The following is a 23,283-nucleotide window of genomic DNA, read 5'->3' as shown; positions in this document are numbered from 1 at the left end:
TTTTTCTGTCACTTGCCTGGATGGAATCAGCAGTCTTTTTATTATGAGGGAGATCAAGCACCTTTTCATGTTAAATCCCTCCTCCTTTTTTTATCCTTTTCCTGTGAGCTACCTGTTTTTCTCTTTTATCAGGCCTGGATATTTTGGGGCAATGCTGGGCTGTCCTAGTACTCCCTGCCTGTTCCAGTTGATCCAGGCTCCTTAAAGCTCCAACAGTGTGGATTCTGTGAGCATCATGAAAGCCCAAGGGTGGTGGTCTCTCCAGGTGTCAGAGAGCCAATGGTGAGTGAGAGAACCCCCCGGCCAGGGCAGCAGAGAAGCCTCATGCCCACCAGTGCCAATAGCCTGGCATGGGAGCAGCCCTCTTTGTACAGGAAAATGGGCCACATTTGTCTTTAACATTTGCTTCTTGTCCAAAGCATTTTAGAGTGTGATGGACATGAAATGATGGAGACAGTGTGTATCTACTTCCCTTGAAAGCTCCTCCAGCGAATCCAGAGCCAGCATCTTCCTGTAGCATCTGCCCCTCCCTCCCTTTCAGGCCTGTGGTAACATCTCCTCCTGCAGAACCTGGGCCCTGCTATCCTGCTATCAAAGGGTGGAGAGCCTGATGGTCTGTGAAATTCCCAGGGAAGGTTCAGGTATCAGAAATGCACTGAAGAACCACCTGAGCTCACTCTGTTAATGGCGATATTTCACGTGATTTATCTGGAAGGGTTGGTAACTGATATGGTAACAAATCTCATCTTGAATTCCCACATGTTGTGGGAGGGATCTGGTGGGAAGTAACTGAATCATGGGGGCAGGTCTTTTCTGTGCTGTTCTCTTGATAGTGAATAAGTCTAACGAGATCTGATGGTTTTAAAAAGAGGAGTTCCCCTGCACAAGCTCTCTCTCCCTGTCTGTCTGCTGCCATCCATGTAAGATGTGGCTTGCTCCTCCTTGCCTTCTGCCATGATTGTGAGGCTTCCCCAGCCACTTGGAACTGTAAGTCCAATTAAACCTCTTTCTTTTGTAAATTCCCCAGTCTCGGGTATGTCTTTATCAGCAGCGTGAAAACGGACTAATACAGAAACTTAGCCTGGAGGTCCTGATTAACAGCTAACGCCTCCACCCTTACACATAGCTTCTGTTTTGTAGTAAGTGCTCAAATGACTGTTGAAAGAAGAAATCACGAACAACTGTCTGACTGCCCTCTCTTTTGTCTAGAGGTAGTACAGTTCAAATTGGTTCGGTGGTACTGTGTTTACAAAGTCCACTTTCTGACAGCTCCAACCAGCTTTCTTGCAAATTTCAAAAGCCTCTTTCTTTGGGCCTGGGAACTAGGTTGGCCAAATAAAATACAGGAGACCCAGTTAAATTTGAATTTCAGGTGAACAACAAGTAATATTTTTGGTGTGTGTCACAAACATTGCATGGGACATACTTACTGTTTTTGATTCCTGTGGCTGCTGTAGGAAATGACCATAAACTTGGTGGCTTAAAACAACAGATATTCATTCCCTCACACTTCTGAAGGCCAAAGTCCAAAATCAGGATCACTAGGTTGAAGCTAAGGTGTCAGCAGGGCCACACTCCCTCTGGAGCTCCAAGAGAGAATTGGTTCCTGGACTTTTCTGGCTGCTGGTAGCTGCCAGCAGTCCTTGGCTTGTGGCCACCTCACTCCAATCTCTGCCTCCATCACCACATTGTCTTCTCTTCTGTGTTTTCCATCTCTCTCTTCCTTCCTCTTACAAGGATGAGTGTGACTGCATTTAGGACCTACCTAGATAATACAGGATAATCCCCCCATCTCAAAATCCTTAATTTAACCACATCTACAAAGACCCCTTTTCCAAATAAGATCACATTTACAGGTTCTGGAGATTAGGACCTGATATCTTTGAGGGACATTATGCAGCCTATGCCAATTATTTGTTGTTATCTGAAATTCTAATTTTCACAGATGCCCTGTGTTTTAATTTGCTAATTCTGACAGCCCTACCTGGGACCACACCTTATTAGGAGACAGCAAGGATTTAAGTGATTTTCCTTCAACTGGCACCACCCTTCCTTGTGTGGTGGGGAGAGGCCCAGTCCACAGACCCAGCCCTGTTCATCAAGATCTTTTATCTTTGAAGTGGGGCTTATAGTTTACAGTGGCATTCCAGTTTTCAGGAGAATCTAAGGCATTTGGCTTAACTTTTGAACAGATCATGGCAAACAGTACATGTATTCCCACTTTTAGCATTCAAAACTCCAAATACAGACCTGTTCCCCTCCACCCTCCAGGAAGGTGGAAAGATGAACAAATAAATATATAAGTTATGTATCTGTTCCCCTTTCTGTTCTCAAGTCTCTTTAAGAAAGCCTTTTTTTTTGTTGTTTGTTTGTTTTTTTGAGAGCAGGTCTCGTTCTGACGCCCAGGCTGCAGTGCAGTGGTGCCATCATGGCTCGCTGCAGCCTCAATTTCCTGGGCTCAAGTGATCCTCCTGCCTCAGCCTCCTGAGTAGCTGGGACTACAAGCGCACACCGCCATGCCCAGCTAATTTTTAAAAAATTTTTTGTAGAGACAGGGTCTCCCTATGTTGCCCAGGCTGGTCTCGGACTCCTGGCCTCAAGTGATCCTCCCATCTTGGCCTCCTAAAGTGCTGGGATTCCAGGCGTGAGCCACTGCACCTGGCCCTGTTTTTGTCATTTGAGACAGGTTCTCGCTATATCGCCCAGGCTAGTTTCAAACTCCTGGGCTCAAGAGATCCTCCTGCCTCAGATTCCCCAGCAGCTGGGACTACAGGCGCAGCCACTCACCAGTGTGGCCTTAGGGTTTTTGTAGTCAATATTGAACTCACCCACTCATCCATTTATTCACTCGTGAATCAATTACTGAGTGCTTATTCTGTGCCATGCGCTATGCCCGGCACAGAAGACACAAAGATGAATAAAGCATCTCCCTGCGATGGGCGAGTGAGGGAGGCTGGATCCCTGGGGAAGCCCAAAGAGTGGAATTAGACAACATTGTGGAAATTAAACACAAATAACGGGCACTAGTGATGTGAAGGCAGCATGATTCCATTTGATGTGAAACTAGAAGGATAGAAACTCATTTACCAATTATCTTTAAATTCTAACAACTATTTTTAGCCTTTAGATGTGGAAAAAATAACTTGTATTACAGGATGTGTTACCTAACTGTCTGCTTTAACATGATGGTGGTTTTCCTCCTTCTGTCTTCTAGATCCCTGGAAATGTGGGTGCATATGAGGCTCCCTCTGCCTCCTCCCACAGCCATATGAGCTGCCGCCTCCTAGGAGAACCTGGCAGGGCTGGCAGCACCCCCAGCTCCCCAGTTCAGCCCAGAAGGGGGCTGCCTGGACTCCAAGATTTCTCCCTTCACCCGCGGCTGCCTCCTGCCCCCATGACTACAGTGTGGTGAGCACTTTTTGGTACAAATTATGCCTCACTGCAAATACATCTTAGTTTTTTTTTTTTTTTTTTTTAAGGAAAAAGCCATCTGTTGATTTATTTATCATATGGCACAAATTCTCAAGCTGAAATTCCAGGTCTCTGCCCATGAAAAACAAAACAAAAGCAAAAACACTTTTTTTTTGTCTTTGGGGGAGAAAAGCAGTGAGGCACTGGCAGTTTAATAAAGGGTAGGACCCCTAGGCTAAAGCAGTGAATGGGAAAGCTAGGGGGAAGACCATGCCCCAGGGAGCAGAAGCCCAGGCATAAGAAGCACAAATCCTGGGTTCGAATCCCCTACCGGCCTCAAATTAGCCACGGGACTCCAGGTGCCACTTGACTTCCCTGAATCCCTCTGAACCTCCCTGAATCTCAACGTCCTAATCTGTAGAAGAGGGGAAGGAATTTTTCACTCACAGGCTCATGTTAAGAATCAAATGAGATCATATAAACTGTAAAGTACTATCCACTTGTTAGTAATTTGGGGAGTGGGGGGACCTCCCAGCACCCTGAAATCACATCGTGTGGGCTACCCAAGTGTGAGGACACCCCGTGCCTGTGTGTTTCCAGTGCCCCCATATCACTCTCCTGTCTCAAACACCTAGAGGTTGACATCCAAATAACAATATTAAAGTGACTCAGATTTATTATTTTTTTGAAATGGAGTCTCACTCACTCTGTCGCCCAGGCTGGAGTGCAGTGGCGCGATCTCAGCTCACTGCAACCACTGCCTCCCAGGTTCAAGTGATTCTCGTGCCTCAGCCTCCCAAATAGCTGAGATTACACGTAGTGCTCCACCAGGCATGGCTTTTTTTTTTTTTTTTTTTTTTTTGAGACAGAGTCTTGCTCTGTCAACCAGGCTGGAGTGCAGTGGCACCATCTCAGCTCACTGCAACCACCTCCTGGATTCAAGCGATTCTCTCCTGTCTCAGCCTCCCTAGTAGCCAGGATTATAGGCACATGCCATCATGCTTGGCTAATTTTTATGTTTTTAGTAGACACGGGGTTTCACCCTGTTGGCCAGGCTGGTCTCAAACTCCTGACCTCAGGTGACCACCTGCCTCAGCCTCCCAAACTGTTGGGATTACAGGCATGAGCCACCACACCCAGCCTAATTATTTGTATTTTTAGTAGAGACAGGGTTTTGCTATGTTGCCCAGGCTGGTCTTGAACTTCTGGCTTCAAATGATCTGCCCACCTCAGCCTCCCAAAGTGCTGGGATTATAGGAGTGAGCCATCACGCCCAGCTGACTTCGATTTGTTATTGGGACTGACCTTCTAATTAGTCCAGATTGGATCAATATTTGTGTATCCAGAAAGCCAGGTAGTCCCAAGTGTTCTCTGCACATTGTGGGCCCAGTAGGAGGCAGGGCTTATCCCACTGGAAGGTGGCAGTCTTAGGAGCCTTAGTAGTGGAGTCCCCGTGACATGGGGTCCAGGTGTCGATCTCTCTGTTGCCATTGGGCAGCCCAGGGCACACTGGTTGCATCTGTCCCCCGGGCACAGGGTGTTCGTGGTCTAAGGCTATGACCAGTGTGCCCTGGGCTGCCCAATGGCGACAGAGAGATGCCCTCTGCCCAGCTCCTAATTTTGCACTCAGGGCTGTGTGCCAAGGTGCCCGCACTCTGCAGCTCCCGCTGGGATCCATGGGGGCCTATGCAGGCCATGCTCGGGGCCAGGACTGATGATACTGTCTCCAGGTGGCTCCACCCTTCAGTTTTGGATGCTTCTAAAACTTTTCTTGAAGAATGACTCAGTACTCACCCTTAATACAATTTATAGGCTGAAATGATCCCTCTGCCTGCTCCACCTGCTCCAAACCCTGATAAAACAGAAACTAGGGTGGGATATCACATATGGTATCTTCACTTTGTAGCTGGTGGATTTTCTTAAATGTGGAGGAGAACGTGGGAGGCAAGACCAGAACTGAGAAATGACTCTTGCTTTTAGTTAGAGGGAGGGTGGCTGTGGGAAGTGTATTTCAACGCCATGAAAGTACCCTGTGAGGTTGCAAATTCTAAGTAATTCGATATGCATAACCCCAGCCTCAGCTGTGTGAGCTCCTCCCTTCTCTGTTCCCCATCACTCCCCCTTTTCCTGGTCCCAGAGTGTGAACCACATTGGTGTAGACATGGGGAAAGTAAAGTGGATTTTTGAGGAAGGGGGATCAGGTAGTGTAGCCCAACAGACTAGAAAATACAGACTCAGTCTCCTCACCTCCCCTCTCACTGTGACCCTTTTTCTTAACAGTAGAGGGCTGACTTTGTCTGCCTTGCTCAGGGAAACCGCCCCACTTTTAATTAAATTTCTCCCTGTAGATGCTGTCTGGGAAGCTGAATGTCATCTTCCCTGGGCTTACCTGCCAGGCTCCTCTCATCCACATCTTCCAGCCTCTAGCCACATGGACCCCTCCGGAAAGCATGTGTGTGTGGGGGGTATGTGTGAACATTTTTCATGCTTGATGTGAGCCGGAAGAAAAATGAGCTTCTCTATTTGATAAGTGTGGACCTGCCCACAGCACTAAATTTGGTTCTGCCGTCACCGGCGCCATGAAGCAGCAGCCTGGTTTAGAGGCTTGCCTTTGGTTTCAAATAATTTCTCCAGGCTCATGTTACATATGACCCATTCACAGAGGCTGGAGGGCATGGCTTCTCCAGTCCTTAGCACTAAAGACGTGTCTTTTGGCTCCTGCACGACTAGCACAGGCAGTAGAACCAGATGGGGGATGCTCTGAGGTTGCAGAGGCAGGAAGGCAAGCGGGAGAGAGCTTGGGCCTGGACAGAGGGATGAGCTGGCTCCCTCCCCAGCTGTGAAATCTCTGAGTCTCAGTTTGCTTCTCTGCAAAATGAGGATAATAATCCCCACCTCGGGACTGAGGATTAACGAGGCAATGGTTTTAGCAGAATAATCCACTGCTGCTATTATTATCAGCATCTTCGTATAGCAAAACTCATTTGGACCAATGGGGAGTGCGTTAAGTTGGTCTGAAGTAGGGCAAAGGAACGATTATAGAATGTTTCAAAGGAAATGTGTTTTTTATTATTTCCATGTATATAGAGTACTGGAACTGAGTGCTAGGAGGTGGAGAACTGACTTGATTTAAATAAGGAGAGCTCATTTGACATTGGCCTGTTTGATTTCTCAACATCCAACTGTGTTAATAAAGAGGGTTTTGAGCTATCTATGTGCCCAGCTCTGTGACTGGAGAAGGAAAGTCACATAAGACACAGTCCTTGCCCTCACAGGACGTGCAACCTGTGGGCAGATGAGTCCTACACAGGAAGCGGGGGCAAGAAGGAAACTGTGAGGCACTGGGGAGCACGGCGCTGCCACAGGTGAGAGGAAACGCGTAGCCTCTGGACCTTGAGTGCCAAGGCTGGGGAAAGCTTCGGGGAAGATGGACACTGAGGAAGGTCAGGTCAATTTAAATAGGGGGTGGGGCAGGGAGAGAGGGGCAAGGCTGCCATGGGTGAGCAAGGGGCAGAAAGAGCACGGCATCTATGAAGGAGCCACAGGGCAGGCTGGCAGGAGGCGGGACTGGGCAGGGAGGTGAGCCAAGGTGTGGGGACCCGGGCAGGCAGCTCGAGGCCAGCTTGGCTTAGCAGGCGATGCCCATGGCAGGACCACACTTGGAGAGGGCCAGGGCAGGTGACGGGGTTGCTCTGGGAGGAATTTGGCAATGGCATGCAAAACGGATTGGATATGAATTTTGGAATTGAAACAGGGAACAACTCATTATTGTTTCCATAAGGATCCGAGGGTGAGATGATAAGGTCTAAAATCATTTTATCGCTGGTGAGAGTGTGACTGGAAACAGAGGGGCAAACTGAGGCAATGCCTGGAAGAAACTGGCGGGTCTGTTCCAGGATGTGGAGGGAGAAGAGCTTAAGGCTCCATGGCTTGCCACATTCGGGACTGGAAGATGGCAAATTCCAGTGACCGAAGTGCACAGACCAGGTGGTAATGGGGGCAGCATTTTACTAAAACGCAAGGCTATGGGGCCACTGGACACCCAGGACTGGCACTCAAACCTGGCCACGCTGGAGAAGAGATGGGCCATTGTCAGGGTGGGGGTTATGCATACACCCTGAAATACCTCCCACCATCCACGCTCCGGAGAAACCCTCCATTTACAGGGTGAAGGCAAACTGACTTTAGCCCCGCTCTGGCTCAATTCAAATGCCAGGTGCAAGCAGTTCAATTAACGCGCCTGCCCCGTGCCTTTGACACCAAACAGATGTCAGAATATTACACCATCCAAGTCAATGCCTGGCTTTAATTTAATCACTCATGCCTTAATCGATTCCTGTCACATGCTAAACACTGTGAGTGGTGGGGAGAGGCTGCTCCTAGGCATAATTAGAATATGAGATTCTGTACCAAGTCCCTGTCTGGTTAGGAAAAAACTGAAAACTCCAGAAAAAACAGAAAAGCTCCCAGGAAATTCCATCCAAGGGTCGTGACTTGAGCCCAGAAGGAAGTCCCAGCCCTTCCCCAGAGAAGTCAGCACTGGCAGGGGCTGGAAATCACTTGAGGTCATGCTCAAGGCACCCCCACCCACTGTCTTGCACCCTGGTTTGGGGCTCCTTCCTTCCAAAGAAGGGGACAGACAAGATCAGTGCAGGCTGGGCTGTGGCCACCCATGCATCCCTCCTGGGCACGGACCCTGCTGGCTCAGCCCTCACCCCTAGGAACCAGCTGCACCGTCTGACTGACGCTAAGGGAGCCAGGTGGCAGCAGCTATACTATTTCAGGTCAGGCTAAAGTCAGCCCACCAAAGACTTCAGATCAGCACCTGACTGCGGCTCCTGGGAGGCATCCCCCAGCCCTGCAGCACTTCTGAGAAGCTCAAAGGAATTCTCTTAAGTTGTTTTATTTCAGTTCTATGACTATGCGAACAGAAGAGAGACCACATTATCATCCATTCTGAGGGGGAAGACAGTATAATCTCCATTTCTCAGATGGAAATATGGAGGCATGGGAAATCTTAATCTTGGCCAAAAATCTCTTAGTTGACAAATGAATTCAGGGCTTGGCAACCCTAAGCAGCCAGTGATAACAGGGGCCCACAAATGAGGGAGTAGCTTGCTTCTGGAATTCAGTCTTACTGGTAACAAACGATAAGATCTTTTTAAAAGTCTTTTTATTTTTATTTTTTTTAACTTGGCCCAGATTGTCAACTTATGAATCCTACTGATTAAAAATTTTTTCTTGCATTTCTCATCAGCCATCGAACATTGGTTCATGATTATTTATAGCACTTAATGACATTGAAAGGGATTTATTTCAATTTATTCAGTCTTTATTAACACTCCACAGGGAACAGAGTGCAGCCGCCACTGGCCTTTTCTCAGGCACAGTTGAGATGCTAAGAAGGGAGGAACTTCACCACTAAAGGAAGAACTGAACCCGGTGGAGAGAAGCCCAGGAGGCAAGTTATCCCTATAGGATTATCCAGGAAAAATATTAAATAGGTTTTAATAAGGTTCAGGTGAGTTTATGAATGATCACTTCATTATTCAAGCGGATTTAGGGATGTTCTGCAAAATCCTCCGTTTCTAAGCTGGCCTCATGGGGACCAGCAGCAGAGGCAGAGGCTGAGCCGCTGCACTGGGGATTGGGGCCAGCGTGGAATTTCCCCTGCTCATAGGGAAAAGACAAGACAGAAAACGGATGGTGGGAGGGCTGATGACTCTTCCAAATGGCTATTCCTGATGTTTCCTGGCAATGAGCAGCTATGAAAGGGACAGGTTCACATGCGACTACACCATGACTTTTGCTGTGCCCCAGTGTAACAGGAGGTTATAGACAACAGTTTTATTTGCATATATAACCTTTGCTTGGCTTATTAACATATTGCTGATTTAAATTCTGATACATTGTCAAAGTAGAAAGCTGTTCGGGTTTTTGGCAAGCCCAGTATAAAAAATGCAGGCATGCAACAAATAGGTAGTGAATATTCACATTTAAATACATGTAAATATAAATAGAATTAAAAAAAAAAAGTTTAGAGACAGGGCCTTGCTGTGTTACCCAGGCTGGAGTGCTATGGGACAATCATAGCTCACTGTAGCCTTGAACTCCTGGGCTCAAGCGATCCTCCTGCTTCGGCCTCCCAAGTAGCTAGGGCTACAGACACATGCCATCATGCCCAGCTAATTTTTACAGTTTCCTTTTGTAGAGACAGGATCTTGTTTTGTTGCCCAGGCTAGTCTCAGACTCCTGGCTTCAAGTGATCCTCCCACAGTGCTGGGATTACAAGTGTGAGCCACCGAGCCTGGCCTCATTTATATATATATATGTGTATATATATATAATATATATAAAATATATTTAATATATATAATATATATAATATATATATAATATATAATATATATTATATATGTTTTTATATATATTATATATTATACATATTATATATATAAAAATATATATAATATATAATATATAATATATATTATAATATATAATATATATAATATATATAATATATTAGATATATAATATATACAATATATTATATATATAAATATATATAATATATAACATATATAATATATACATATATAATATATAATATATAATATATATAAATATATATAATATATAAATATATAATATATAAATATATAATATATAATATATAATATATATAAATATATAATATATAAATATATAATATATAATATATATAATATATAATATATATAAATATATAATATATAATATATAATATATAATATATAATATATATTATATATAAATATATAATATATATAAATATATAATATATAAATATATATAATATATAAATATATAAATATATAATATATAATATATATAATATATAATATATAAAATATATAATATATAATATATTTATATATTATATTATATAAATATATATATTATATTTTAATATATATTATATATATAAAAAAAATATATATAAAACCAAAGAGATTCCTTTTTTTTTTTTTTTTTGAGAAGAAGTCTAGCTCTGTCGCCCAGGCTAGAGTGCAGTGGTGCGATCTCGGCTCACTGCAACCTCCACCTCCCGGGTTCACGCCATTCCCCTGCCTCAGCCTCTCGAGTAGCTGGGACTACAGGCGCCCGCCACCACGCCCGGCTAATTTTTTGTATTTTTAGTAGAGACGGGGTTTCACAAAGCCAGGATGGTCTCAATCTCCTAACCTCATGATCTGCCCGCCTCGGCCTCCCAAAGTGCTGGGATTACAGGCGTGAGCCACCGCGCCCAGACTGCCTGATGTTGCCCTGATTAATTACCCAAGAAGTCTCTTTTTGGGGGACAGGCCATGGGAGGGGGATGAGGCAAGACAATAGTTTGGTGCCACTGTTCAATTAAGAACAACTGGAAACAGGTACCACTGAAATGACCTGCAAATCAATGGCAGAACTGGATCCGATCCAGGACAACTCTGTTGACACATGATTTAGAACGCTGGCTCCAATTCAGGAGGAGGAGCTGTCCTTTACGCTGGGGGAGGAGCACCGTCCCACGGTTCCATGAATTTGTCCTTCCCAGCACTTCGTTCTTGGCATTCTGTGGCGTCTGTAGAGCACATGACAAGCAATTACAGAGCCAGGGGTCTTCTAATATCCTTGCTATCCCAGGGAGGAGGACACAAGCATGAAAGTGCATCCCTGGACTTTTTGTGGTGAAACTGCAGACTTAGATCCCAAGATAACATCACCAGCCTTCTCAGTAAAACAGAAAACTGGGCCATAGGCTGGAAGGAAAACCAGCAGCTGGGACTAGAGATAATTATGTCCCTCTTCTCTTTGATGCCTGGATTTAGCAGTAGGGTGGACGGGGCCAAAGGAGAGGAATGAATGAAACATTATTATCAATTGCTTCAGATTTAATTCTCACTTGCTGATTTAAAACTGTTTTTAGTGTTGGACATTGATCTAAGACTCTTTCCTCAGGGGAGTTAATATAGCAAAGGGAATTTAAACTTATTTTCAGTCTGTTGAGGAGGATTTTACCCTCTTAAGTTGGGATTCTATGTGAATGACTTCAAAGTGCTGTGCTAGTCCTGGCAGACAGACAGAAGATGGGCGGGGAGAATGCCCACCTTTTACTAATTTATAAGTTTCCCCAGTAGGTGTTCTTCTGATACCCTGTAAGAATAAGACATGAAGGTCTGTAAACATGCAAGGCTGGGGTCCACACAGCCTGATCTGCAGTCAGGACTGCCTCTTATCACAGCCAAGCACTTACTAAAGGTCATCTGTGCCCATTCAAAATCTTGTATGTACACCAGACTTGCTATAATAATCACATATCCTAAATAAGGTGCAAGCTGGCCGGGCGCGGTGGCTCACACCTGTAATCCCAGCACTTTGGGAGGCCGAGGTGGGTGGATCACTTGGGTCAGAAGTTCGGGACCAGCCTGGCCAACATGGCGATACCCCATCCCTACAAAAATACAAAAATCAGCCGAGCATTATGGTGTGTACCTGTAGTCCCGGCTACGGCGGAGGCTGAGGCGGAATTGCTTGAACCCAGGAGGTGGAGGTCGCAGTGAGCCAAGATCGCGCCATTGCACTTAAGCCTGGGCGATAGAGCGAGACTCCGTCTCAAAAAAAGATTAAAAAATAAGGTGCAAGCTGATGGAGTAAAAGTGCTGAGGAATAAGCTCTTCAAATCATTCAATGATTTTAAGAAAATTTAGTTGAATGTTTTGGAAAGACTTCATAAAGGTGAGTAATATTTACTATCAAATGGGATGGTAAAGACCATGAAAAAAAAAAAAAAAAGTAAAATCCCTGAAGGATTCTGCATTCAGATGACTCCACAATGTAAACCCAAAATCCAAACTGAAATCGGAGGACCCAGACAGTGCATTATTAATGTGGCATAGGCAAAACAGACAAGAAATTTCAACTGGCTGATCCAGACACCAAGAGAAGACCTGAGCCCTGTGTCAAAAGATGGGTGAACAAATTCACATTTATATAGTTTCGGTTAAAGTAAAATCTTGGAAATCTATGTGTATCATTTAAATGATTTTCTGATATAATGACTTTTTAAAACTGATATATTGTTACTTAGTCTTGATTTAAGCGATAAGAAGGCTTCTTAGGCCGAATTTATTAATTCATAAATGACTATACTTATTGGATACATGGAATTCCTAAGATTCAGTACACCACAAGTTTGCTTTATTTAATCCTTTTCTACTCTACTCTCAACCAACCACCCTGAAATCTGTTTGCCAGTTTACCAATGTCAGCACTCTGTTGAATTACTTCATTTGTAAAATCTCTTCTTTACCTCCTTCGCCTTCCCTGACTGCCATTACTTTCTCGATCAGCCCTCACTTTTTATTCAACGAGTAAACTGGAAAGATCTCTGAACCCGATGTACTAAGCCAGGTCACCCTGCCCGGGATGGCTGGCGGGAAGGCAGGTCAGTTTGGGCTGGTGGAGAGCATGCAGTTTATTCCTGGCATGGAGTGGATTTCAGGAAGAAGATGAGGCAGGGACAGCAGATGACAAATCTCCGCTTGCCTGTGGCAAGAGTTCTGTGTGTACATTTAAACATGGGTGTGTGCAATTTTCAGAGGATCCACTTCTGCCCAGTTTGGTGCAGGGGAGCTGGGTAGTTGCCGACTTTTCCTATCTTGATCCCTACTCAGTGTAACAATTTATCTGTACAACTGATTCCATCACCAGGATCTTTAGACCCCTCTGGTCATTCAGCCAATCACAAGCACTCATCCACAGGACACCGCCGATGATGCCATTTACTGAGCAGTTACTATGTGCTTGGCCCTAGTGAGTACCGGGTTAGCTTGTGTGAACCCCATGGCAACCCGTGAGACAGGTACCATCATACTCCAAGTTGTGGATGACAAAAAACTCTCCAAGCAGCTAAACAATATGGCTTAGGTCTCACAGTGAGCAGGGAGCTGGGATTTGTGCCCAGGAGGCCCGATCAGAGCCTACCTCCTTAACCATTAGGCCAAACTGCCTCCACATGCAGAACACTGCCCTGCACTGGGGACCTGGGGGAGGGTAACAGTGTCTGCCCTTGAGCTGCTCCCAAACCTTCCTTGAATAGCCTTGGCACAAAATGCATTTCTTGGGGACTCGCTGACATGGTGTTTGGATTTCTATCGGGTCCCTGATTGGGCTCAGCATGGAGCCTGATGAAATATGAAAAAAGCAAAGAAAATTAAGGGACTATACATGGAAGTTGTTCGAGTTTGTATTTTGCTGAAGCCCATTCTATCTGCATGCTTACAGAAAGTTTCCTAACTGGAGAACCCAGAAAGCTCAAAACCTGTCTCAAATTCCTCCTCACACTCAGTTGGGAGCCATCTGGGCAGGCAGGGAACCTGGCAGAGGTGGCAGGAGCATGGCACCTGGAGACAGGAAAGGAATTCTTGGACAGCAAACTCTTTGGCAAGGCAACAGGGGCGAGACAGAGGATTCTCAGGTAGCCCCAAGGTACCACAGTATAATGGAATACTTATTGCAAAGCCTGGGCCCCAGGAAGTGAGAAAAGCCTCCCAGGCCCATCTTTGCCAAAAGATTCTTACAAGAGGACTTGCCTATGCCCACCCAACTCAACCCACACCCACAATCTCAGAGCAGGCCTCATCAGTGGGCGCCAACGCTTTCACCTTGCCGAGGTACAGAACCTAAGCTGGGGATCTGATGTCCCTAAACCTCAGAGACTTGACCTTGGCCACACTGAATCTACGTCTTGATCCCCCAGTCTTGATTTCCAGCCTTCCCTGGGTCAATCAAACCAGCTGCCCCGTCATATGGCAGAGCAGTCCAGAAACCCTGGATTGGGGGAAGAGGTTTAAGGACCTTAGGAAGAGATATTTGCTCTTTGTTTTATAAACAGAGCACCAATGTAGAGTGAAATGCCTTGCTCTCTGTGTCGGGGCCAGATAAGAAATTGAGAGCTTTAACTCCACATCTCCCTAACCTTATTCTGGGTCATGCTCCGATTACAGACTCTTGTAAAAATTCATTTGTGAGACAGTGGTTTTGGAATCAATATTCTACTGGGTCAATGTTATAGATCATATCTGGGTTCCCAGACTAGTCCACAATGGCCAAGTAAACCCACATGTGGCTGAGAGGGGAGGGAACTAGTGTCAGGCAACCAGCTCCACCACCCACTGGCTCTGTGACCTTTAGCAAGTTACTAACCCTCTCTGTGCTTCAGTTTCCCCATCACGGAGATAATAACAGCACCTGCTACATAGCGGAAGTGTTGTGAGGATTAAATGAGATAATCTTAGCAAGCACTTAGAATAGGGCCTCCTAAAAGACACTCAATGAATGTAATTAAGATAGCAGTGCCAGTGTCAACCCCAGCAGTGGTGACATTGGGACTGGGTCATATTTTGATGTAGGAGACTGTCCTGTGCCTTCCTTGTAGGATGTTTAACAGCATTCCTGGCCTCTACCCACAAGATGTCAGTAGCACCCTCCCCGAGTTGTGAAAACAAAAACATCTCTCTAGACATCTCAGTGGCCCCCAGTTGAGAACCATGGTTTTACAGGAAAACAGCTGAGAGTCCCTGCTGGAACATGAGGACTCCTCTCCCTGCTGCAGCCCAGCTGGTGAGGCTGGGGTCTTCTCTTCCCGTCACCTGCTGAGGTGCCCCCCAAACGCCAGCTCCATGTCACTAGTGGAAGCACCTAACTCCTGGGCATGGCAAGTTAGGAGTGGCCAGGGGGGTGTTTCTGGGAGTGTGAGGGGGCTTTGGGGGTCTCTGAACACGGTGATGAGGAAAGTGGTGGTGGAGGAAAGAGCAGAGTCAAACGCAGTTTCCCACCTGCTTCCCACTGTATTTCCCCATTTATCCTTCATGGATAAAATCCATTTGGTATGGACCGAATACCTCTTGTATGTCTAGCACTGTATTAGGCCCCTACGGCTGTTTTTATTTGTTTTTGAGTGATTCTTTTTCAAGGAGGGAGTAAGGAAGATGCTAAATAAATACATCAATAGAAGGCAAGGTCCAGTTGGAAAATTATCACATGTCCAATTGGAAAAATAACACGTGTTCGTACATATAGCCACAGAGCTACTGAAACCACACACATAAATGCTGAGGGAAAGTGGAATAAAACAGTTTCTTTAAATTTTCAACAAATGGACTGTAACAACAGATGTTAAAAAGGCAGAAGGAAAACCACAATCTTATCCCATCTCCAGGCTGGCACCGACCTCCAAGGGCATGAGGGTCAAAGGGCACGTTTAATAGAAAGGCCACTTTTTCCAACCGGAATAAATCTAACCTTTCCTCAATCAAAGCGATTCTAAGTTTTCTAACAATTTATGGGCAGTATCCATTTCTTTTGTTCCTGTCGGAGGAGCAATGCCTGATATTAGAAACCACTTAAAAGTCACGCCCTTCCAGCAGGAACAGTCATGGACTGTCACTCATCCAAAACCCAGCAAAGCCAACAAGCCCCTTCCCCAAATCGTCCAAAGGTGAACCCAAGAGCCAAGCCAGGTTATTGCTATATAAACATCTGTTAGAGAAGCAAACTTGGCCAAGGAATGTATGAGCTTCAAGAGTCACTCCGGACCTGCGTAGCAGGGGTGGGGGCAGGGGATACACTTATCTGTTTATCCATTAATTTGTTTACGTAGAGGGAGGATTTGGAGATGCTTATACAGTAAATATAAGCAGCTTATACAGTAATTATAATACAATGCTTATACAGTAAATACAATGCTTATACAGTAAATATAAGCAGCCATCACAAAACACAAAATGACACCCCAGAATCAACCGCGGTAGGAAAGACATTTCCCTGTCTCCTGTAGGATGGGTCAGTTAAGGGGCCGAGGGGGATCAGATAGAACTCAAATTGGTCCTGCTGAGCCTGGAGCCTGAGCACGCAGAGGGGTGAGCTAGGCAGTCGCTGTCGGAGCCCCCATCATCCCTTCCAGCCTGGACCATTCTGAGACGGAGGTTTGGAGTTACAGGTGTGTGAGCGCCAGAGGGTGAGAGGGGTCACTCGCTCGGAATGTAAGAGCTCCCGCCTGCTGGGAATGGGGAGGAGTCGTCGATGGCCCCAGGATCCGTGCCCAGACATTTCCAGAGGCGCACCGGCTGGTTCAGCACCCCACCGTCATCCGCGCAAAAGCTGCATCCCTCGAGGTCCTGGAGGGAAGCCATTTCCTTAAAGCGCGCGCAGAGCCAGGATAGAGTTTCCTACGAAGGACCGTCCCCCTGAGGTTCCTCCATTAACAGCGCCCCCGGCCTTGCCCACCGCAGCGGCCCCACCAAAGCGCCAACACATTTCAAAATGGAGCGAAATCGCAGAAGCGCGGAGTGCGCTTTGTTCCCAGCATTGGGCTAAATGCGCTCATCCCCACCGGGCTCCCTTTCCTCCAAAGGCAGGAGGTGACATCTCTGCTCGCGAGATGGCAATACGTAGCCGTGGCCGCGGGCTCCCCTTTTCCGGGGCCACCCCGAGACCCTCGCTCCATCTGGAAGGGGAACCCCGCGCCCAGCTCTGTCTGGGGGCGAGGGAGGAGAGACGATGCTTGAATCGATCCCTGAGCCGCTCTGCAACCCCTCGCGGCGGGCCCAGCCATGCGAGGAGCCTCGCAGTACCCAGGCTCCAGCCCTCTACGCCACCGTCAAGGAGGGTCGGCCTGGTCCCGGGCGGGCAGCCAAGCCATTCCCCAGAAATTCAGATCAACCTGGGCGACCCGCGTGGAGGATTCAGCTCCTAGATGCTCTTCCGTCTCAGAAGTGCGCCCCCCGCACCAGTTTTCAGCGATAGAATTAACCAGAAAACCGTGCGTACCAGGTTCATCACAGGAGGGCGAGGCATGGATTCGTTGGCCAGGAGTTCCCCCTGCCGCCCCAGACTCGGTTTTGGGGGCGCGGTGAACTTGGACACGGGTGAAATTTATTTAAGATAAATAATATTAATCAGTACGGACATAATATTAATAAAAATACACCCAGGGCCGCCTATCTGCGTGTCTGCGGCCTCCAGGGGCCAATCAGAAACAGCCTCAGGCGCGGGGGTTCGGGGCTTCCTCCCGTGTCCTCCAGGAGGCCGACTGGGCGCGGCTCCCCCTACCCCAGGGTCCCCAATCTCCGCAGGGAAGGGGTGAGGCCAGCCCCAAGATCCCCTCTCCGGACACCTGTGGTTTCCATGGCAATCCCCCCTCTGCGCCCAGTCCAGTGGGCTCAGAAAGATGGGTGTGGCCGAAGCACCAGTAACCTTATGCCCCTTCCTCACATTCTCCGGCCAGGCGAAGCAACAGGGCGTAAAGCCGGAGAGGCCCCGCCAGGGCTCCCCACCCATCCCCGGATGGGTAGCCAGCGTCCCTCGCTGGGCAACCTGGTGTGGCGTGGCCCTCAGGACACTTGGGGTGTAGGGAGGGGCGAGATCCCTCTGCCGCCGCCCGCAGCGCGCACGGAGACTCGAATCCCATCCCTTCAGAAGCTTCCCGGCGCCGGCAGACTCCGAGACGAGGCTGCGCGCGGTCACGCCCGTTCCATGCGTGCCGGGGGTCGGGGGGTTGACTCGAGTTCATCGAACCCAGCAAGCCTCGAGATCCAACAATGGGCTCGGAAATGAGGAGCGAAAAAGGAAAGAGAGGCGCATGGGCGTAGGGGGGAGGTTGACTGAACACCCTCAGAATAAAAGCCAGAAACCAGGGCTGGGAGCGCAGATCACGTAACCTCTACAGACAAAGCAAAGAGCCCCCGAAGAAGGTGCTGGGCGAACGCCCCCAGTGCTCACGCCCGCAGCAGCAAAACGCCAAGATTTCAGCGCTGATTGTCCCCCTCCCTTTAATGCCAGGCCCCGCCCTGTCCTATGAAGCCCGGCCACCCGGTTTGGCATGGCACCGTAAAGACGTGACACGCCGAAAAAAGATGGCACCTCGCGTTCCGAGGGGGAAAAAAAGGGGGGCTGGGGGCGGGAGTGGGAGGAGGCACAGCCTATCCTCCCCCTTCCTCGCCCACCAGGGTCCACACCCACTGCCGCAGTGAGGGGCGAGCCCTGCGCGCCAGCCCCGCGCCTCCGGCAGGGAGCGCACACGCCGGGCGCCCTGCGCTCCGAGCGCTGAGAAAGAAATCCGCCCCGAGATGCACCTGCAGCCCCGCGCCCATCCGTGCGTGGCTGCGGCTGTGCGTGCCCGCGAACGGGGACCAGCGGCCGCCGAGTCCGTCCACATCGCCAGGCCAGGTGAACCCTGCCTTTGCGAGCGTGCACAGTGGGATCCGCGCACTGTTCTCAGGCACGGCGCTGCTCGCGTCTCTGTGCCAGGCGTGCGCAGGGGGAAGGGCAACTAAAGTGACAGCGCGTGGACCCCTCCCCATCTCCTCGATTTCTCCCAGCCCCCAAATGTCCCCTACGGGTTTCTGAAGGAGGAAAAGGGGAGGGGGCCGGCCCCCGCCTAAAATCAGGGGCAGTGAAGGCCCTGTCGGAATCACTGCTCGGGAGGTGCAGGGAGGGGCGTGCAGGGAGTCATCTTTTCTAGAACCCGATCCACGTCTTTCTTAGAGCTGATGGCGAACAGCGGCAGGGACAGCGGATTTCAGATTCGGTTTCGGGGGTCGTTATCGGACCCCTCCACACACACACACACACACACACACACACACACACACACACACGCCCATTGCGGCAAAAGGCTGCAGTCGAGAGTGAAGGGCAGCCCCCTCCCCCAAGTCACCGCCGCCGCGCCCCACCCTGCCGGCACAGCCTCCACCTGGGGTCTGCGCGAATCTGGTGGTGAAGACCCTCCAGCACACACACACGCGCGCACTCACGCGTGCGTGCATCCCTTGCTCAGGTCCCTTTCCAGGCCGCCCTGGCCCCAGCCCCCGAGCAGGGGAGGCAGGGAGGGGCCCTGCGGTGGCCCCGACCGATGCCCGGCGCACGAAGCCCCAGTCTGCGGAGAGGGAGGGCGAGGGGCGGCGGCGCAGGGGTGCACAGAGGCGGACGGCGAGGCAGATTTCGGAGCCGCGGCGCTTACCTGATAGTCGACAGAGGCGAGGACGGGAGAGGACAGCGGAGGAGGAGAAGGTGGCTGTGGTGGCGGCGGCAGAAGGTGGGCGGTGGCAGCGGCGCTGCTGTTGGTGCCGGAGCTGGTGGGTGGCGGTGACTGCGAGGGCGCGCGCCGGCGAAGAGGGCGCGTTCCTGAGGCCGGCGGGCGGCGCAGGCGCGAGCAGCGGGAACGCGAGCCTCCCCAGGGGAGGGGGCGGGCAGCGCGGCCTCCGCGGGAGCCTTCTCCTCCGGCCACTAGTGGGCGCGCGCGAGCGCCCTGCCGCTCGGCCGTCCGGCGTCTCCCGGCTCGTTCCTCTCGGCGCTGCCCTTTCGCGGTCCCCCTCCCGCTACGCCTCAGGCCGCGGCGCTGACCGCAGCGCGCACGCGCGTTCCGTGGCGCACGCGCTTTCTCCACCTCCTGTAGTTGGAGTCTTTGTGTCGTTGCGGGGGTGGGTGTCCTCCTTCGGGCCATGCGGGGTCGGGGCAAGGCCAGTGGCTCCGCCGCTGGGTCCGCTGCCCTTTACTTTCAGTCAGCCTGGGGCGGTGTCCTCTCCTACAGAAGTCCTGAGCGGCCTTCCACGTGGCCGGCCCTCGAGTCCGTCCGCCCCGACCCTTCGTAGTCCCGAAACCGCCCCCCTGGCTAAGGTCTCTTTCCCCCAGGCTGCTTCCTTTCTCCTTGCTTTTTTCCCACCTTTTTTGTTACTGACCAAGGTGAATCCTTTCCTTAACAAATCGGCTTAAAGCAAGCTAACTCAGTTACAATACAGTAGAACTGTACTTAAAAAAAAAGAAACGTGAATCTAACCGTTACGTCAGAAAAAAAAATCTTAAATTAGACGAATTTCAAACAGTGCTTAACACATCGCAGAGCATTTGCAGTTATTTGTATCACGTCTTTTGAAACACCTTTATGCTGTAAATAGAGCTTGAAGTCTGAATGTTTAAGGGCCAGCTAGAGATTGTCCCCTGGAAGACGCACCTCAGCCTGAAACTGACCAGTGGTCCTCATTCTGCTGGTCGCCCAGGCCCCAGGCTTCGGCCTTAGCTTGGATTTTTCATTTCCCCAACATCAAGTTTAAGCCCAAGCAGTGGGATGATTTCTATGTAGGGGGGTTTAGGGCAGCCATCTCCTCCTAGGGAGATGGGAAGTTGTCTTGAAGCTCCAATTTGCATAGCTCTTATATTCTTTTTAAAAAATCAACATATGTTATAGATTAATAGAAAAAGCAAGTAAAATGCTTTATTCACACAGTTTCTGGAACTGACCTTTTTCTCCTTTTTTTTTTTAAATGCATATTAACTTTATTTTTAAACAGAGGGGCATATACCCAAAGAAGTAGGAGTGAGAACCACCATGGGGGCTTGCTCAAAGCAATCTGCCCTAGCCTTCTGACTACAGAATGTCTCATGAGCCAATGGCCTGGAGATGGAGCTGCCCCTTGATGGTGTACACCTTAGAAAAGTCAGTGGAATTGACCTTTTTTTGGAGACAAGGTCTTGCTCAGGCTGGAGTGCAGTGGCACAATCGTAGCTCACGGCAAGCTTGAACTCCTGGGGCTCAAGCAATCTTCCCACCTCAGCCTTCTGAGTTGCTGGGACTACAGGTGGGCACCACCACACCTGGCTAACTTTTTTTTTTTTTTTTTTTTAGAGAGGAGGTCTTGCAGTGTTGCCCAGGCTGCTTTCTAACTCCCACCTCAGCCTCCCAAAGCGTTGGGATTACAGGCATGAGCCACTGCACTCAGCCTGGAATTGACTTTTTGTTGTTGTTGTTCTAACTGCCACCATCCTAGTTCAAGACCTCTATCTTGGTTCTGGACATGTAGGGACCTTAGTGATCTCCTTGCTCTCCAGTTTCTCCCTATATCAGCCCACCCTGCAACCCCTAGTTAGATCAGTATTCAGAAGTGATCATTTTATTTATTTATTTTTGGTTTTTTGTGTGTGTTTGTTTTGTTTTTTTGAGATGGAGTCTCGCTCTGTTGCCCAGGCTGGAGTGCAGTGGCACGATCTCGGCTCACTGCAACCTGTTTCCCGGGTTCAAGCGATTTTCCTGTCTCAGCCTCCCAGCTACTGGGATTACAGGCATATGCCACCACTCCCGGCTAATTTTTGTATTTTTAGTAGGACGGGATTTCACCATGTTGGCCAGGCTGGTCTCGATCTCCTGACCTCAGGTGACCCAAGCTCCTCAGCCTCCCAAAGTGCTGGGATTACAGGTGTGAGCCACCACACCTGGCCCAGATCATTTTAATTATGTCACTCTCTTGCTCAAAAATATGTAAAAGCTTCTAACTGCCTCCTAAATTAAGTTCAACCCCTTAGTTTAGCTTTCAAGTGTCCCCCCAATGCCCCAACCCCCCATCATCTGAGCCCTTGTCCTCCCATTTTCTTTCCCACCTACTCTGTAGCCAGCTGAAGTGGCTTGACTAGAACTCTTTTTCCACCTCTGTAATTCTGAGGTTTTCCTTTGCCTACAAAGGTCCTTGTTCTTTCTTCACCCACCAGTAGTCTACCTAACCTTCAAACTCTAGCTCAAATTTTACCAAAGCCTTCCCTAATCACCCCAACTGGAAGGGACATTTCCAGTCTCTAGAAGGAGTTCAGCAAAATTACTCTTCTTCTTTCTGAAAGTGGGAAGGGGGTGCAGTCAATATCCGTCTTGCAGCATTGAAATGTGGTTATTGTCCCCAATAGTGTCCCCTTTTTTTGGTGTGGGGATTATACATACTTGTCCATTACCATTTACATGATGTAGACATTCCAAATAGGCGCTTCAAGAGCATTGCAAGGTTCTACCACTTTTACTCTTCCTTTCCGCCACCAGAATGGCGTGGCTCCAGAGAGCTGTTCCTTCAGCTTAGATCTCAGGAAGGAAAAACTCGAGGAAGTACATGTCACATGAGCAAGAAATAAACATTTGGGGCTGGGCGCAGTGGCTCATGCCTGTAATCCCAGCACTTTGGGAGGCTGAGGTGGGTGGATCGCTTGAGGTCAGGAGTTCAAGGCCAGCCTGAGCAACATGGTGAAATCCCATCTCTACTAAAATCACAAAAATTAGCCAGATGTGGTGGCGCGTGCCTGTGTTCCCAGCTACTCGAGAGACTGAGGCAGGAGAATCGCTTGAACCCAGGAGGCAGAGGCTGCAGTGAGCCGAGATTGCACCATTGCACTCCAGCCTGTTACAGAGCAAGACTTGGTGTCAAAAAAAAAAAAGAAATAAGCATTTGTTGTGCAAGCCACCGAGATTTGAGGAGTTGTTACCACAGCGTCCTGTATCCTGATTGATACAGGAATTAAATGAGGTGTGTGTGTGTGTGTGTATAAAGTTTCTTACACAACATCTGACAAATAGTCATTAAACTATCATACTATTATAAATACTATACTATTATACTATTATAAATACTAGTTATTTCATTATCATCTTTGTAATAATGCTTTTGCTACACATTATTTTATTTCTATACGTAAAATAAACTGTAGCAGTCAAATCAACACTCGTCTACATTCAAATTTCACATTTTTCCCCCTCTAAGATAACAGTATAATTGAGAACTGACAGGGACCTAATGACAGTATGGTCCCCTCACACTGAATGGTCACATTTGCCTAAATTGAAATAACGTATGCTAGAAACAATCTTAAGCAGATCTGTCATTTTAACTATATGTGATGTAGAGTTGAATGTTCATTCCAGATAATTTAGTCAATGTAGGTAACTAATGGCTCACACTAATTCAGGCCAAGAAAATGCATTCCCTCTCTTTCTTCCTGTCCCTTTCTCTTGCTGAAAGAGAAATCTCATGGCCGCAT

At 48.4% G+C, this 23,283-nt stretch overlaps 1 protein-coding gene and 2 long non-coding RNA genes across 31 annotated transcripts in view, besides 4 other annotated features; 1 reads left to right on the top strand and 2 right to left on the bottom strand.

Annotated features, from left to right (window-relative positions):
* The window catches only part of MAPT (microtubule associated protein tau), a 133,781-nt gene extending 114,192 nt beyond the window's left edge, over positions 1 to 19,589 (bottom strand). For all 29 annotated transcript variants that reach the window (NR_165166.1, NM_001377268.1, XM_005257362.5 and 26 more), the window contains exon 1: positions 19,457 to 19,589. The gene's annotated coding sequence lies outside the window, so the exon portion shown is untranslated. The remainder of the gene's footprint in view (positions 1 to 19,456) is intronic.
* Positions 7,617 to 8,116: an enhancer, noted in NCBI's record as "H3K4me1 hESC enhancer chr17:43983393-43983892 (GRCh37/hg19 assembly coordinates)". NCBI's record gives its function as "activates a minimal SCP1, AML or CMV promoter by ChIP-STARR-seq in primed H9 embryonic stem cells {active_cell/tissue: H9 hESC(primed)}" and the evidence as "EXISTENCE:reporter gene assay evidence [ECO:0000049][PMID:30033119]".
* MAPT-IT1 (MAPT intronic transcript 1) lies at positions 15,345 to 18,360 on the bottom strand. The gene has a single exon (NR_024560.1). It is a non-coding gene; the product is annotated as an MAPT intronic transcript 1 (long non-coding RNA).
* Positions 16,104 to 16,988: an enhancer, noted in NCBI's record as "H3K4me1 hESC enhancer chr17:43974521-43975405 (GRCh37/hg19 assembly coordinates)". NCBI's record gives its function as "activates a minimal SCP1, AML or CMV promoter by ChIP-STARR-seq in primed H9 embryonic stem cells {active_cell/tissue: H9 hESC(primed)}" and the evidence as "EXISTENCE:reporter gene assay evidence [ECO:0000049][PMID:30033119]".
* Positions 17,875 to 18,760: an enhancer, noted in NCBI's record as "H3K4me1 hESC enhancer chr17:43972749-43973634 (GRCh37/hg19 assembly coordinates)". NCBI's record gives its function as "activates a minimal SCP1, AML or CMV promoter by ChIP-STARR-seq in naive H9 embryonic stem cells {active_cell/tissue: H9 hESC(naive)}" and the evidence as "EXISTENCE:reporter gene assay evidence [ECO:0000049][PMID:30033119]".
* Positions 18,630 to 23,283, top strand: part of MAPT-AS1 (MAPT antisense RNA 1) — a 52,158-nt gene continuing 47,504 nt past the window's right edge. The window contains exon 1 of the long non-coding RNA NR_024559.1: positions 18,630 to 18,663. This is a non-coding gene — a long non-coding RNA (MAPT antisense RNA 1). The remainder of the gene's footprint in view (positions 18,664 to 23,283) is intronic.
* Positions 18,761 to 19,646: an enhancer, noted in NCBI's record as "H3K4me1 hESC enhancer chr17:43971863-43972748 (GRCh37/hg19 assembly coordinates)". NCBI's record gives its function as "activates a minimal SCP1, AML or CMV promoter by ChIP-STARR-seq in naive H9 embryonic stem cells {active_cell/tissue: H9 hESC(naive)}" and the evidence as "EXISTENCE:reporter gene assay evidence [ECO:0000049][PMID:30033119]".

Source organism: Homo sapiens, chromosome 17 (genome assembly GCF_000001405.40).
Source record: "Homo sapiens chromosome 17, GRCh38.p14 Primary Assembly".
NCBI lineage: Eukaryota > Metazoa > Chordata > Mammalia > Primates > Hominidae > Homo > Homo sapiens.
The sequence above is the reverse complement of the archived record's forward strand: the minus strand, read 5'-3'. Positions and strand labels throughout refer to the sequence as shown.